The sequence below is a fragment of the Homo sapiens genome, chromosome 5, assembly GCF_000001405.40.
Source record: "Homo sapiens chromosome 5, GRCh38.p14 Primary Assembly".
In the NCBI taxonomy this organism is placed as follows: Eukaryota; Metazoa; Chordata; class Mammalia; order Primates; family Hominidae; genus Homo; species Homo sapiens.
In genome coordinates this window covers 16,503,082-16,519,901 of record NC_000005.10, presented here as the reverse complement: position 1 = coordinate 16,519,901, position 16,820 = coordinate 16,503,082, and the positions used below count along the sequence as shown (strand labels likewise).

Here is a 16,820-nt window from a genome sequence, read left to right as displayed (position 1 = left end):
TTGGTCCCAGCTGAGACCATAACAAACAAATGAACAAAATGGAAGTTCTGACTATTCAGGATAAGAAAATAGTGATATGTTGCGTGACCTTACAATTTGTGGCCTATCCAGGCACGGAGAGGGGGCCTGTTAATAGTTATACCAGCACAAGAGGTGCAACTGGGCAGTGTCTGCGTTAGACTGGGAAATATGGTGACTACAGTGATACTTCCACAACAAGAATGGAGGCGGTCCACAGGAGAGCTCAGGGGCAGGGAAGCTTCAGAGGCTCAGGGTGTTGGTTTGAGTGTCCTGGTTATTTTGGGCTGAAAGGAGCTTTGAGGAAAACACTCCATGTACTAAGCTCAAAAAGAGAAAGATAAAAGGGTAACTGGGTTAAGTCTGATCTAATTATTATGAGAAGAGGCTGAGAAAAAGGTTCTGCTTTCTCCTGCTGGCTGTCCAGATGAGGCAGGACACTGCTTACAACTGTATCCTGAGCAACTCTGGGTTTCCAAGGACCTGAGTCAGGGGCAATCTTTGCAGGGATTGATACCATGTGTCAGTGACCTGCCCCCATTTAAACCTGGGGAACTCTTGTTGGTTTGGTTGTTGTATCTTTTACTTATTAAGATTTGCTATAACATAGTATTTTGGAGAAAAAAGTTTGTATTGCTTTGAAAGCCGCTGATCTAGGACAAGTCTCAGTGTGATTCCACCCACCACGCAGCGAGAGAGAGGGGGTACCATCTCTTCCTCAGCAGCGGGGTGCACATAGTCATCATTCGTCAGATTGTCATTATCGATGGCATCATTTACAACACGTGTATAGATGCTCATTTGATCCTTTGATTTTTGTTTGTTTGGGTGTTTTCTTTTTGGTCAGTTTGATCTAAGGAGAAAAATATCCTCTTCCACTTTGTTCCAGAAATATCCTGGGTTTGATACTAGTTCCATACCCTTATTTCTCTTTGGCAAAGTGCATAATACATTCTCTGAATTTTCACGGGCAACAAATTCTGTATTGGTGACATTGGAAGTCTTTGTGGGCTATGGAAGGGTGAAGATGGGAAATTCTTAGACTCTTGAGTCAGTGGGTGGAGGGTTTGCTTCAATTTTCTTTCTTGTATTCTTTCAGCCAACACATGTCTTTTACGAAACAGTCAGCTTCTCAAAGGCAGGGACTCTGTGCTCTGACTTGAGCAAAAATCCTGAAGCTGTAGAGGCTGACTGGAGAGGTGCTCCTGAAGGCCTGTGTCCCAAGTGAGTGGGTATTTCTTTCCTGTAGGGACAGGGAACCCTGGAAAGTCTCCTTACAACCCCCTTTTCATTTAAAAGTAATCTTTTTTCTTTTTATATTTTAAAAACTATTTTTTTCTTACCATAAGAGTAATTTGTTGCTGAAAATAAAAAAGAAAAAAACAGGCAAAAGGATAAGATGGAAAATACTCATTATTTCCCTAAGCCACAGAAGAAAACCATAGTGTAGGTCCTTGAACACTTTTTCTTTCTCTTTTTCTCCTCTCCTCCCTTCCCTTCACCCATCCTCTCCCCCTCCTCCTCCTCGCCTTGTCCTTCTAGTTTGCCTTTCCTTCTTTGTACATATCTTTCCAGATATGTTCATCAATATATAAGTGTATATATAAATATATAAATCAGTATATAAATCCATAATATACTTATATAATATATAAATATATAGTCAATATATTTACATATATTACATTTATATATAATCACTATATTTACATATTGATTATATATAAATACATATATTGATTATATATAAATATATACAATTATATGTAAATACATTGATTATATATAAATATACATAGTATGTAGATAAATATATAAATACATAAATGTATATTTCACATGAATGAGATATTATATATTTTGATTTCTATTCTTTCTCTCTCTCTTTTACTAACTATATTAGGGAAAGACTTTCCTAACAATGTCATCCTTTTTAATGGCAGCATAGGATTTCATTGAATCATACAATTTAACCTCTTACTGATAGACCTCTAGGTTGTTTTCATTTATTGGCTGTTGCAAAGAATGCTTATATTTATTTTATCTCTACATTTTAAATTTTGTGTGTGTGATTTGTGAAGTCCATAATATGTTTACAAGTAATATATGTACATTATAAATGTATATGCATGTAATTTGTAGTTGCACAATATATTTGGAGGGTGTGTGCTGCTGGGGGTGCTTGATCAAAAACATGTGGCTGCCCCTCACCTCAGCAACAGATGATGAATTGAACTAAGACAGTAACGCAGCATGGAGTCTGAGGTGGTTAGAAGTGTAGCTCAATATGTTAGGGTTGATGGGACTTGGTGATAGTCTGTCTGGTGAGGGAGAGGGAAGAATTGAGTATAGCTTCCATGTGTCTGCCTCAGTTGACCATTTCTTCACTTACTTAAGTAATTAATATCAACTAATAAGATAATCTAAAAATAATATTAATACGCTGTATTCTAGGAGCCAGCTCCATCGTGCTTTGTACTATTGCTGAGATACAATAATAAACAAGAACATCCCTGCCTTAAATTCTGGTGAGGTGGGGGATTCAGATAACAAACATGTGAACAATAAAACAAGTTTCTAGCCTCTGCTTCAAGAGTGTTCAGGTCAGGCCTACACATCCTGGCCGATTTGGAATGGATTTGCATTTTTGTTTTCTGGATGTAAGCTGCATTCTGCCTCTTCTCCAAGACTCCTATTAGATATATCTTCCTCCTCATTCCAAGACTCCTATTAGATATATCTTCCTCCTCATTCCAAGACTCCTGTTAGATATATCTTCCTCCTCATTCTAAGACTCCTATTAGCTATATCTTCCTCCTCGTTCCCATGCTCCTTAGGGATTACTTTTCCTCACTCAGTATTGTTCCCCCTGCAGGCATCTGTTGCTTCAAGCCTCACATATACGGTTTAGAAATCTTATGATTTTTTTTTTCATTTACTTTTTTCTTGAGATGGGGATTTCACAGTGTTGATCAGGTTGGTCTTGAACTCATGGGCTCAGGCGATCCTCCCAACTCTGCCTCCCAAGGTTCTGAGATTACAGGCATGAGCCACTGCACCTGGCCTCTTATGATCTTTTTGGAATTAATTTGGGCTTGTTAGATTTTTTTTTTTGTTATATGTCTTGTGAAAAAACATTTAGAGGTACATGTTTAACTTTATTGTCTACTGTGTAGTTTAAGAAATGTCAAAACCAGGAATACAGCCTGATTGGGCACACTAGAGGCAAGAGTGGGAGAGGGTGAATTCACAGACCTGGCCAGTCTCCTCCTGGCTTCAAGGTGATAATTTACCCCGCAATTCTCAGACTTCACTTGTACCAGAAATGTTTGGGGGAAATGTGCTAAGATGCGGGTGCTCAGGCCCTTCCCCCAGCGATTCTGATTCTTGGAATTTCAACTGGGACTCAGGATCTGCATTTTGAAGCAAGTTCTTCTGGAGATTCGGTTGTGCTGTTCTACAGACAACATTTTTAGAAAGACTGACTTAGGGGAGGTGTTTTTGATCTCTGTGTCTTCTGTCATTTAAGAAGATTTTTCAGTCACTTGGGCTGATTGATAAATACAGCTGATCACTCAGGACACAATATAAAGTTCCTACTCAGAGAGAAGCTGACTTGAGCTATCTCTACCTCGAAGGGGTCTTTTATAGTTTCAATCATATATGGATGAAAAAGATGCTGTATTCTTTTTATATGAACTACTTTGTGTATTTTATAAGTAGTATAAATGTACGAATATCCCATTTACCAGACATTTGGGGTGCATGGTATAGACAACTGAAGGTTATTCCTTTAAGTTGCACTTTTTTTTTTTTTTTTGCTTTATTTCAACTATTTACATGGAACTATTTCTTAATTTAGTGTATGCTTCTGTCCTTTGGCAAACACAATCTACTGAAGATAGTTAAATCTTTTCAGGGTCATCATATATGTTTTTCATTCTTTCAGGTCTGACTTAGATTTGTTAAAGCCCCTACTCTGAATAGCCTCAAATGTGTTTGCTCTTGGTCTGCCATGGTTTTTAGAGTTTTTCTTTTCCCTCACGGTTTTCTGTCATTTCCCTCGCGCATTGCTGTGCCTGGCTCTAGGAGCTTTCTAATTTGCTCTGGGGCTGGGAAATCATGTGACTGCAGACTATATGTTGAGTAATAGTGAAGAGGATTTGAATGAGTTTTTGAGAAGCTGTTCTAGGAATAAAATGGATGTACTTTGCTGCGTTGACTTGGTGACATTATTCTAGTGGCTCAACTACCTTCTTCTAACTTACTTCCTGATCCTTAACTGCAGTTGTCATGTTTGTGACCTCCTGACAAGTGAGTTATTGCTAGAAATCATTTATCTTGATCTGCAAACCTTTGTCTCCCCCAGTTGTGTTAGTGTTTTTATGTATACAGTTCTATAATGTGAAACGTATAAGGATTAAAACTAAAAAAATTCTCAGGCCAAAAATAGATAAATTGAGATATTGCCAAGTTATATGAAGAAAACAGATTGGAATAAGGAGATTATGAGAATGACATAAAGTATTTATTATGTTTCTTTAAGAGAAGAAATAGACAAGGATAAAGGAGGAGCAAGTTTCAGAAAGGTGATGGATTCTTTGCACTTGTTTCTTGGAGATACTTGTGGGGCTTCCAGGTTCCAGGAACCCTTTTACACTGCTGGTGGGAATGTAAAGTAGTACAACCACTATGGAAAACAGTGTGGAGATTCCTGAAAGAACAAAAAGTAGAACTATCATTTGATCCAGCAATCCCACTACTGGGTGTCTACCCAGAGGAAAAGAAGCTATTATATGAAAAAGACAATTGCATATGCATGTTTATAGCAGCATAAGTCACAATTGCAAAAATGTGGAACCAACCCAAATGCCCATCAATCAATGAGTGGATAAAGAAAATTTTATATATATATATAATATATATACACATATATAATATATATGCACATATATTTATATAATATATATTATATATATATATGCATGCCATGGAATACTACTCAGCTATAAAAAGGAATGAAATAATGGCATTCGCAGCAACCTGGATGGAGTTGGAGACCGTTATTCTACGTGAAGTAACTCAGGAATGGAAAACTAAACATCATATGTTCTCACTTATAAGTGGGAGCTAAGCTATGAGGACGCAGAGGCATAGGAATGATACAGTGGACTTTGGGGACTTGGGGGGAATGGTGGGAGGGAGGTGAGGGATAAAAGACTGCACACTGGGTACCGTATAAACTGCTCAGGTGATGGGTATCCCAAAATCTCAGAAATCACCACTAAAGAACTTATCCATGTAACCAAATACCACTTGTTCCCTAAAAACTATTGAAATAAAAAAATTAAGCTAAAACATTTCAAAATAAGATAGAAACATTAAATATCTAATGAATGGAAAAATAACACGGAATATACTGAAGATACAAGTGAAACAAGGCAAAAATACAAATTCCAAAATGAAAATATCTGTACCAACCTCACGCAGGTGGCGTGAGGTGGTGCTGAGAACCAGCAGGCCTTCTTTGGGCCAAATTTCTGGTTACAGATCCCACAAGTAGAAAACAGGACCTTTGGGCTCTCCCGTATTTGCAGAAGGTTCAACACTTCATTCCTTCTAGGTTAAAAATAAGAATGTGGGAGGGAGATGGCTCCTAGAGAGCCTTGAGCTCTAGGTTATTCATCTCCTCCCCATAAATCAAGCAAAAGCACCCATGATCTCCTCTCCCCAAACCCAGCTTTTAAATTAAGTTTTAACTCAGAATGAGAGTGACAAATTCCTTAATAGCAGTATATAAATAATTTTTGTGTTTTGACCAAATTTAATTCAGGCATATCTTAAAAAGATCAATGTTAATCATATTTAAAATTATGTTTTGAAGTTAATTTAAATTATATGTTTAGTCTGTCCTAGATATTAAACACAATATGAATTTTTAAAAAAAGAAAGTGCTGTCAGAATAGAGTTACCAGTCAGCGTAAAATAATTTGTCTCATCAAAGATCATGACAAGGAAGAAGTGGACAGAGGTGGCAGGGCACAGAGTCAGGGGTTTGAGAACAGGGGTTTCAGTCAACTGAGAGGCTCCCGTGGGAGAAGGAGCATCGAACAGAGAAAACAGGACTCATTCTTGCAAATGTTTTTCTGAAAATGGCCCAAGTGGCAGATAGGTTCAGATATGAGGATATAGACTTGACTTGAAATGCCCACCATGGAGATATTCTTTCTTCTGTCTGAGAGACTGGTTGATTATTGTCTTAAGAGTGAGGCTTTGGGGCTTCCTCTAGTGGAGAAACAGTCCAAACCAAAAAGAGCCGGTCCATCGGATGGCTGGTGTAAAAATGGACAATGTCTTTTCCAGTGGCCTGGCCATTTAAATAAAGGCACATATTGGGGCATGGAGTTCTTGAGTTTGGGACTCCTTGATTTTGGTTTAAAACGTGTGCAAGGAGGTCCCCTTGGTCCCTGTAGCTGTTGCGGCTCTAAAGACATGTGTCCATTTGCCTTTTGTAAGGAGTTTCCCCACTGTGGCTGCTGTAACTCTATGTTGCCTTTGCTAAGGGTCACAACATTTATTTAGAAAAGCACAGGTTCTGGATCCAAAGTTCTTTTACATGAAATTGGCTGGAGTTCTAGATGGTTGAGTTCTAGAATCCTCAGAGCCAGATGAGCCCATGATTCCCTGTCTTCTGGTAATCTTACCTAGCTACTGAACCCAGTCCAGTTTCTAATTTGACCCAGTCAGACACCTGAGGCCTTCCTACAGACCCAGCCCTATTTCTGTCATGACTTCTGAACCAATCTGCTCCAAACAAAGTGCTCAAATATACTCAGAGAGCCCAAAATGCAAATTCACAGAGCTCAGAATCCAAGAGAGAACTCAACCATGACCCCAGTTGCTGCGAGAGATCAATGGGCACAGTGGGCCCTGGCAGTTACCTTCGCTTGGTCTCTCGGTGTTTCTGGGAATCACTAGAGGTCTACTTTGAATCCCGTTTCTGGCACCTGGAGCAGCCTGATGTTTCTGCTGACATCTCCTCAATCAGAACAATCACAGAAGGCCTCATTTGGCTCCAACAAGTCTGAGAAATGTAGTTTTAATTTTGGAAGGCCATGTGTACTAAAGTTGGGAAGGGATATGAAGAGACAACCTGTCTTCACGCTGGCATCTGCATTTGGCCATTCATTGCTAATATTTTCCTATGACATCCAAGAGGGGGAAGGTCTCTCCTAGTGTCTCAGATAGAAAGTTCCAGAGCTTTAATCAAAGCAGCTGTAGAGGAGATAGAAAAAAAAAAACTCGGACTGATGGTTATGTGAAGGGGAAAAAGGTGTCAAGAAAGGTGAACGTTTAGCTTTGAAGTGGCAATGGTTTTCTAGGGCATACTATATGATGAAATTGCAAAGGAGAATAAAAATGTCCATTTAAAGTATATTACTAATATTAAATGGAGATACATTTGGAAAGAGAGTATATACAGGAAAATTTAAAATGTGGAGGTATCTGGTCCCTTGGGCTTCTGCAGCATGTGTAGGCTCTGCTGGAGTGGAAGGACACCCAGCCAAGGCATAGTGACCTGGAGAGGTGACTCCTGCCTCTGTCACCCGCAAGTCACCTGACTTTGCTGTTCCACAGTTTCAGCATCTAAAAATCTTGGTGATCACTTCTGTGGCACTCAGGGTCTCTCCCACATCTGAATTCTGTGAGTCCTTAAGTTCTAGATGTCTAGTAGGTTTCAGGTCAGTGAGGAAACGCTTAGCACCTTAGTCCCCAGCAGGGTGAAAGGTGCCATCTGGGTGAAGAAGCCATGTTAGGCCTTCAGTGGGGGGACACTTGTCGATTGTGTAGCTACACTCGGGATCTGTTGTCTGTACTGTCCTTGTTTTCCCTCTGATAGGGTTTGGATCTGTGTCCCCACTAAATCTCATACTGAATTGTGATCTCCAGTGTTGAAAGTGGGGCCTGCTGGGAGGTGATGGGGGATCATGGGGGTGGAGTTCTCATGAATGGTTACCACCATCCCCCCTTCATACTCTCTCTTGCTCCAGCTCTGGCCATGCGATGTGCCTGCTCTCCCTTCCCCCTCCACCATGATTCTAAGTTTCCTGAGGCCTCCCCAGAAGCTGAGCAGATGCCAGCCATGCTTCCTGTACAGCCTGCAGATCCATGAGCCAATTAAACCTCTTTTCTTTATAAATTACCCAGTCTTAGGTATTTCTTTATAGTAATACGGGGCTGGACTAATACACCATCCTTGTTCCTGTGAATTGTAGGAATTACCACAAATGTACCTAAAGGGGACTCCATGGTTGGAACAAGCAATTTTAACATGCATGACAGGGCGCTAAAACAAAGTACTGGTGCTCCTTGACCTACTGTGGGGTTATAGCCTGAGAAACCCATCCTAAGTTGAAAATATTGTAGGTTGAAAATACGTTTAATCCATCTAGCCTACTGAACATCAAAGTGTAATCTAGCCTACCTTAAACATGCTCAGAACACTTACATCAGCCTATGGTTGGGTAGAATCAACTGGCATCACAGTTCACTGCAGAGTACCGGCTGCCCACCCTCTTGATCGTGGGGCTGACTGGGAGCTGAGGCTCCTGGCTGCTGCCCAGCTTCATAAGAGAGTACCCCACCACATGTCGCTAGCCCAGAAAAAGATCAAAATTTAAAATTTGATGCACAGTTTTTGCTGAAAGTGTATTGTTTTGCACCACTGTAAAGTCAAACAGTTGTGAAGTTGAGCCATCCTAAGTTGGGGACTGTCTGTAATGGTAAATATTTCCTGTTGGTAATAGCTAATTCATCTGTTATAGCACTAAATCAGTTCATCATCCTTTACAATTAAGAGGCAGGTCTCAGGGATATATTCAGTTCTGTGGTAACCAGCAACTAAGATCAACAACAGTTATGTTCAGGTATGCAAGAAATAGTAAGCTAGAAGCTCAGGAGAAAGAAAAGGTAAAATTCATGGGTTAGAATGATCAGAGCTGAAAGTTAGATAAGAGAATTAGCCTTTTGTGTTGATTAGGTTTTTTTTTTTTTTTTTTTTTTTTGTTGTTGTTGTTGTTCTTGTTGTTTTTTCGAGACAGGTTCTCACTCTGTCACCTAGACTGGAGTGCAGTGGTGCAATCTAGGCTTACAGCAACCTCCGCCTCCCAGGCTCAAGTGATTCTTCTGCCTCAGCCTCCCGAGTAGCTGGGATTACAGGCATGCGTCACCACGCTCGGCTAATTTTTGTATTTTTAGTAGAGACAGGGTTTCACTATATTGGCCAGGCTGGTCTCGAACTCCTAACCTCGGGTGATCTGCCTGCCTCGGCCTCCCAAAGTGCTAGGATTACAGGTGTGAGCCACCACCCCCAGCCGATAAGATTTTGTACAAGTGCCAAAATATTATCATTGATAATATTTTCAGCATTTCAACTTTTCAGTTATTTAAAAACCTGGAATTTCTAATAGTATAGCACATTGCCCTGCCTCTGACAGGCTCTCGCACACCCCGACCTTCAGAGCTCAGCCTATGACTGTTTTCTTTCAAGTCCCTGGTATTTCAGTTGTGTGTCTGAGTAACCACACCCAGTTCATCTTAGACTTTGAAGTGTCTAAAATGTTAGGTCTTGCGTAAAATATGAAATGCCTTAAGGAATTGTTAATTGTGAGATGCATACATCACAAAATAACTAACACTATCCAAAAGAAAGCAGATATTATTTGTTTTGACATTTCTTTAATGTGGTAGAAAGTCACTTTCACACATACAAATGGTAAAATATACATTAAATATAGATAACATGCTAGGATTAGCTATAACATAACAACAGAATACACAGATTTTTATTTTTTTATTTTTAAAATTTATTTTATTATTAGCTTTTTAAAGAAACAGGGTCTTGCTCTGTCACCCAGGCTGGAGTGCAGTGGCACGATCTTGGCTCACTGCAGCCTCCACCTCTGGGGCTCAAGCAATTCTCTCACTCCAGCCTCCCAAGTTTCTGGGACCACAGGAGCATCCCATCAGGCCCGGCTAATTTTATTTTTGGTAGAGATGGGGTCTCATTGTGTTGCCCAGGCTGGTCTTGAACTCCTGGGCTCAAATGATCCTCCTACCTCAGCTTCCCACAGTGCTAGGATTACAGGCGTGAGCCACAGCACCTGGCAACACATTTTGAAAATAATATTGTTTCTTAATAAGCAGATCTTACTTTCTGCCATCCCTAACATTCCTAGTCAAGAAAAAAAAAATGGCTTCAACTTTTTGTCCAAAGCTTTCAGGATATATTCCTAAAGAAATCTCAGTAATATTTCTTCTGGCCTTTTTGAGAGCAAGATTTGAAGGGATTTTTGTCGTACTCTTTTAAAAAAGCAAATGAGGGATGGCTCTCTTCAGTGACAAGCCAAACTATGAAAACATCCAGACCCACAATCCTTCCTGTGCCAGTGTCAGGCTGCCCCTAAGGACAGGGAAGTCCTGGGGAGAAAGCGTTTTGCCCAGATGAACACGTGAACTCAACATTCGTGTGCATGCTTCCGGTGAGTTGAGAAATCTAGATGACCCGAAAAGATTTTCTTGCAAAGCAATATCCCTCAAAACCCCATTGCATAATGGCTTTTGTTTTAAACCTTTTTGAGTAAGGGATCTTTTTGCCGAGTGGCTAGGCGTTCTCCAAACAAAACCCCCAACCCTCACAGGTACAGCCTGTTTTGCTGTCTGCTCTCCAACTCCCTCCTGTGACTTGAAGGAGGAGATTTGATAGCCCAGGGTGATGTTTCAACCTCCTGTGGCCACTCCACCCTTAGGTGGGTGCCTAGTCATGCCAGAAAAAAAAAAAAAAAAGCCGGGGGAAGAAAAAGGGCAGGCGGGCCTAGGTGAAGTCATCCAATGAAGGTTACTGGCTGAGCGGGGACACCTTCTCACAGGACTGGAGAGAGAATGCGGGGCAGCTGGGCAGGGCTCACTTCCAGCCGCCTGTCACAGTACTGGGAGTAAGAGGTGACCTATTTATTTTTAGAAGGGGGCAGTGATAATAACCCAGCTCCTAGCTTCATTCAAGGGAGGCAGGCGCTTTGGAAGTTTGTAAACACCAACTTTCTGAGTAAGGGAGGAGCACTTTTTTTCCAAAAAGGAAAGAACGTCTCTACTGGGTTTTTTTCCTCCTGATATTCAGCATTAGAGTAGAAAAGAAACTATTGTTTGGCCACATTAGCCGTGGTTAGCAGGTGCTGCAGCCTTTGCCACTGTTATTATTTTTAAAGGGCAGAAATGCCTGAAGGTGAAGACTTTGGACCAGGCAAAAGGTAATTGTGATATATACGTACGTACTTATTCTTCAGTCTGTTTCACTGGCTAGTTATCTTTTTAAAAATATTATGACTAATTTAAAAAGGAGTTTAAAATGTAAAAATATGAAGAATGCAGTCCTTTAATTCCAGGAAACATAATTTTCTTTGGCACGAACTCACTCAAGAGAGGCAAATAACTTAATGTCCTCTTAAAAACTTATGCCAATAAGTGCTTTTCTTGAATCAGAAAGTGATGGCCTGAAATTTTTTAAAAAAGTGTTTCCCAGCACATAATGTAGAATCTACTTGAATGTTTTAATGTTGAGTTTTTAACATTAGATGATAGTTGTTGGAAATCTAAGCTATTGAACATTTTTAAAAACCTATTGCATTTTAAAGATTTGTTAAGCATTTCCACAGTTTAAACATTGGACCAATATACCATTTTGATATTGTAAAACTTTTTAAAACCACAGTTCCTATTGTTGAAAATGTGATTACTTGGGTTCCCTTTACAGGGAGTACATTAATTGTATCACTGTTTATATTAATATCTAACTCTGAGAAGGGGGAGATCAAGAGTACAGAAAGGAAGCAGACAATTAATTCCTGCTCATATGAGCATAATTGTGCCCAGAGTGAAAGTCTGCATTTTAGCCCCATTGCTGTGAACAACTTTTGTATGAGTCAGTTAGATGCCTTCATTGGAATTCTAATTGGGGCCATTGAAATTTGGATATGAAGTAGACAGAACATTATTAAACAAGAAAAGGAGTTGGACAATTTTCTTGCCAAAGAAAGTGGAAACTGGTAACTCTCTAGGAACAAGGGCACCAAAATATATTTTTGTCATTGTATTAAAGACAAGCATCCCCTTTCAGCCATGGGTATATGGGGCATGTTTGTGTGTGTGGTAATTATAATCAGTTGTAGTAGAGTCTGTAAAAGCTACTTTTCTCTAGTTTTCTAGTTTCCATTTTCTTACAAGTTCCTTCCTAGTACATCAACATTATGTTGACATTTAATTGAACAATGAAACAACTTTCTACATAAAATGACACAGTAAACCAAGTACTTGAAGATGACATTTACAGAAATGCTTAGAGTGGGATATGGGTTAACTAGCTGGTTAAGAAAACATTTCCAGAAAAGTGTAAATGTCAGGTTCAGTTTTGAGATCATGGGTTGATTTACTCGTATGTATCCCCTTCATGACATTTTAACATTTCTGGAAGCAGGACTTTTATTTTCCTCTTGGCACCTAGGCACTCCCACCAGCTCTCTTCATAGAATTTTCACAGAACAGGCATTTTTAATACATACTTGTAGAATGAAATGTATTGATAAGCTATTTGATATGTGCAGTACATATTTATGGGGCCTACTCATTTTAGAGGTTGAAAGAAGGGAGAGATTTGGCAGAAATGTGATTAGGGTTGCTTTAATGAAATGCAATATTTTCACAATTAAGTAGTAATTATTGATAAATATTTTGAACCAACAGTTTGTGATATATACTGAACAAACATAAGAATTTTTTTCTAAGAATGCTTTACTGGTTAACAAGGCGTAACCAGATAGGAGTGTATAGATATTATATAGCTATACATTCACATAACCATATATTATACACACATATAATGATTATTATTACCAAGGATTAGTAATATATTGGATTGAAAATGAGAGACTCCCCGTCCTTTGAGGTAGCATATTCCTGTGCCACCTCCCCCTACTACCTGTAGTTTTAATTTTGATAACTTTAAGCTTTTACCCATTGGTGGTTTTCTATGCAGTATACTTTGTCTTACTTCATACATTTGTTTTTTCCCTATCTGTGCAGAAAGAAGGGGCATCCCAGACAGGGAGAAAGTTTAGAGCTAGGCTAGAAATAAAAGATTACAACTGGCCTGGTGCCGTGGCTCACACCTGTAATCCCAGCACTTTGGAAGGCCAAGGCAGGAGGATCCCTTGGGTCCAAGGGTTTGAGACCAGCCAGGGGTGCTGAGGTGGATCACCTGAGCCCGGGAGGTGGAGATTGCAGTGAGCTGTGATCAGCCCACTGTACTCCAACCTGGGTGACAGAGTAAGACCCTGTCTCAAAAAAAAAAAAAACAAAAAAACAAAAAGATTGCAATGGAACAGGAATTTGACTCTTGCTACCTTCGAGATGAAATGCCATTGGACAAGTCTTTGGGTGCCTTGTCTGAAAGAGAAATAACTGTTGGAAGTTGTTTATCTACTTACAAAGTACATTCTTAGAGCTTGATTGCAGCAGGTTCTAGTTGAGTCTCACACTGAGGCTTTTTCATGTGACTTCAGTTCCATTTTGGCACTTGGTGTCCTAGATTGCTCTGGAACCATCAGTGAGCTAAATCTCAGTTTTGTTTTTAAAAAAATCAGTGGAAGCCAAATGCTCCGCAGCTTCATAAGTGTATCCAGGTGTAGGGCCCAGGCATCCAGGGCAGACTGCCATGCGTGCCCTGGTCTGATGGCCCCGAGGCACCATTTGATATTCACCAAATGGACTTGGTGAACCAACGGCCTGAGAGGGGGCAGGTCCAGGAGAGACCCCCCTCCTTGTGGTTTATCTTATGTCAGCCATACGTGGTATTAGTAGGAGCCTCTGGAGACTCCATGCCCTTTTCCAAGGTCAAGAGACGAGGGGAGAGGGTGAGCCTGAATGCCACTCTGAAGCAGGCGAGGAAGGCAGAAGCCCAAACAGGGAGCCTCAGGGGCCAGAGAAGAAGGAAAGAACAATGGGGGCAGCGACTAGGATAGCAGACAGGGTCAAGAAATAGGAGGAAACGTGTACCCTGGCCAGAGGCCTGGCTCTGCAGTGGTTCCTTGGCCCCACCTTGGAGCCGGGGCCTGGGAGGGCCTCTGACGCCTTCAGCAAGCAGCCTGGGCTGAGGGGTGTGGAAAGGGGGACGGTCCCTGTTCCAGCTGTCCTGAAGGGAGAGGGACCCTAGGCACCAAGACGGAGCTCTTCATGCATCTTCTTGTGGAAGCGCTTTCCAGATAACTTCCGGATAATTGTGTTCACATGTTCATTGCTTCACTTGGTAGGGCTTTATGGCGCTCCCAATGTCAGCCAGCTGCGGTGCCAGGAGCTAGGGTGATGTCAGGCCCCTGCTGTCACGGAGCACACAGCCCAGGTGTGGAGACAGACCCCAAGGTGAAAAAAAAGTAAGCAAGAGTATTTCAGATAATAGGGGCTGAGGAAATGAAACTTAAAATGGTCGTGTGGGAGAGTACCTGGCGTGCAGGCTGGGGGAGGGGATTAACAGCAGAATGTCACCTGCTAATCCAGGCCCCTGTGAAACATCCTACTGGACTTGTCATATAGTAAGGACTGAAAAGTTTGTCTGCAAAGGCCACTGAGTCCGTACAACTGGAATTTAGTAATACCAGTTTTGCGTCCTCACAGGCCTTTTGTGATCGCTGGACTCCGGAGCGGTAGGGCTGCCGTACATTTGTGTTCCGGATGCACGAAGGTGATTGTATTTAAGATCACCAAAGCACTTTTAAAGCCGAAACGTCATTCGTAATTGCACTAAATTTTATTCTTGGAAGTTTAAAAGAAATTGACTTAAATATATTCTGCAATCCAGATGTTTTAATAATTCAGATTAGCCAGATTTTAGGCTTAATTTTACATTGTTGACAAAGCCTATTGTTGATACTACCATTTCTTTAAAAAATCGGGTGAGGAGGAGAAAAGCCTGGCACAGGAGCCTGACCAGGGTGCCGTTGGGATTCCTGTGAGCCAGCGTATGTCAACTTTTGTATGTTTGAAAAGGTCGTATGTGGCCTTTGGTTTTGAAACAGGTACAGAGAGCTGAAGTAAACAAAGTTCACACAGCCGTGAAGTGAGGGAGTTGCGATTTGAAGGCAAGTGGCTGACTCCTGAGGAGCCTGTGCAGTTAGATACGTACATATATGGCTGTTATGTGCTGGCGATACCCCGGGTGTGTTTAGCATTTAGGAGGGCAGTGTGGGCGCAGAAAGGTCAGTAGGGTTGACACCCAAGGAGAAAGGAGAGAGTGGCTGAAGTGGGAGAGGTACATAGGAGTCCTTCACTGGGCCAGGTAGGCAGCGGTGTGATGGTGAATGTCATGGAATCTGCTCTATGTGGTAGAGAAAACCTGATCTTTAGCATTTGCTGATTCCTGTAGTGTAAATACTCCCACTGTGGTTGATTTCACATCACCACTTGAGGTCACTAAAAGTGGAGCTGGAACTATTCACAATAGCAAAGACATGGAATCAACCCAAATGCCCATCAACGATAGACTGGATAAAGAAAATGTGGTACATATACACCATGGAATGCTATGCAGCCATAAAAAGAAATGAGACTGTGTCCTTTGCAGGGACATGGATGGAGCTGGAAGCCGTTATCCTCGGCGAACTAATGCAGGAACAGAAAACCAAACGCTGCATGTTCTCACTTACAAGTGGGAGCCGAACAGTGAGAACACGTGGACACACGGAGGGGAACAACAATACTGGGGCCTGTTGGGGATGGGTTGGGGGGAGGGAGAGCATTAGGAAAAATAACTAATGCATGCTGGGCTTAATACCTAGGTGATGGGTTGATAGGTGTAGCAGACCATCATGGCACACCTTTACCTATGTAACAAACCTGCACATCCTGCACATGTACCCTGGGACTTAAAATAAAAATTAAAATGAAAAAAAAAGTGAAGCTGGAAAGAGAATCAAAATATTGGCTCTCCTGAGCCTGCAGAGGTCAGTCCCAATATACCATTGATTGTGGGCCAAGATAAGAGTGAGCATTTAATTCTAACTGTGCTGTGGCTCCTTCATTTATATATTCCTAAGGTATAATAGACATTCAATAAAAGTTTGTGGAAGGAATTATTTAGTTTTCTTTTCTTTCTTTCTTTCTTTTTTTTTTTTTTTTGAGATGGAGTCTTGCTCTGTCGCCCAGGCTGGAGTGCAGTGATCTTGACTCACTGCAAACTCTGCCTCCCGGGTTCAAGCAGTTCTCTGCCTCAGCCTCCTGAGTAGCTGTGATTACAGGCGCCTGCCACCACGCCCAGCTAATTTTTTGGTATTTTTAGTAGAGATGGGGTTTCACCATCTTGGTCAGGCTGGTCTTGAACTCCTGACCTCGTGATCCACCCGCCTCGGGCTCCCAAAGTGTTGGGATTACAGGTGTGAGCCACTGCGCTTGGTCTATGGAATTATTTATTTTTCTTCTACTCTTCTACCATAGTCATGGAAAATGTCTCTTAGATATGGAAAATGTTTACCACTTTTGAAATCCTATTTTGTCCCAGCTGGGCTAATATTTAAAATTGATTAAGAACATGTAGAACAATGCAATCTTTTTGATGCAAGAGAGTTTGTTGAGTTTGTTTTGCGTGAGATATCTGAATCACCAGTTAATAAGTGGTATGCTTCCTAAACCTTTTCAGTGCCCCAGTGAGCTTCCTGTAATCACGCCCCTGTGAAAGCTGATTTCTGTTTTATAAACACAGA

The 16,820-nt window shown here is 41.1% G+C and overlaps 1 protein-coding gene across 5 annotated transcripts in view; it reads left to right on the top strand.

The window, feature by feature from the left end:
• The window catches only part of RETREG1 (reticulophagy regulator 1), a 143,945-nt gene that overhangs the window by 97,096 nt on the left and 30,029 nt on the right, over window positions 1-16,820 (top strand). Inside the window, exons 1-2 of one of the 5 annotated variants that reach the window (XM_011514054.3) lie at window positions 10,904-11,324; window positions 14,379-14,498. The exons of 2 other annotated variants lie outside the window; for them this stretch is intronic. In XM_011514054.3, the coding sequence (XP_011512356.1) occupies window positions 11,290-11,324; window positions 14,379-14,498 (155 nt within the window). In that variant the 5' untranslated portion in view covers window positions 10,904-11,289. Of the gene's footprint in view, window positions 1-10,903; window positions 11,325-14,378; window positions 14,499-16,820 lie in introns of those variants that run through there. 2 more of the 5 variants (XM_011514053.4, NM_019000.5) reach the window with 2 other exon arrangements.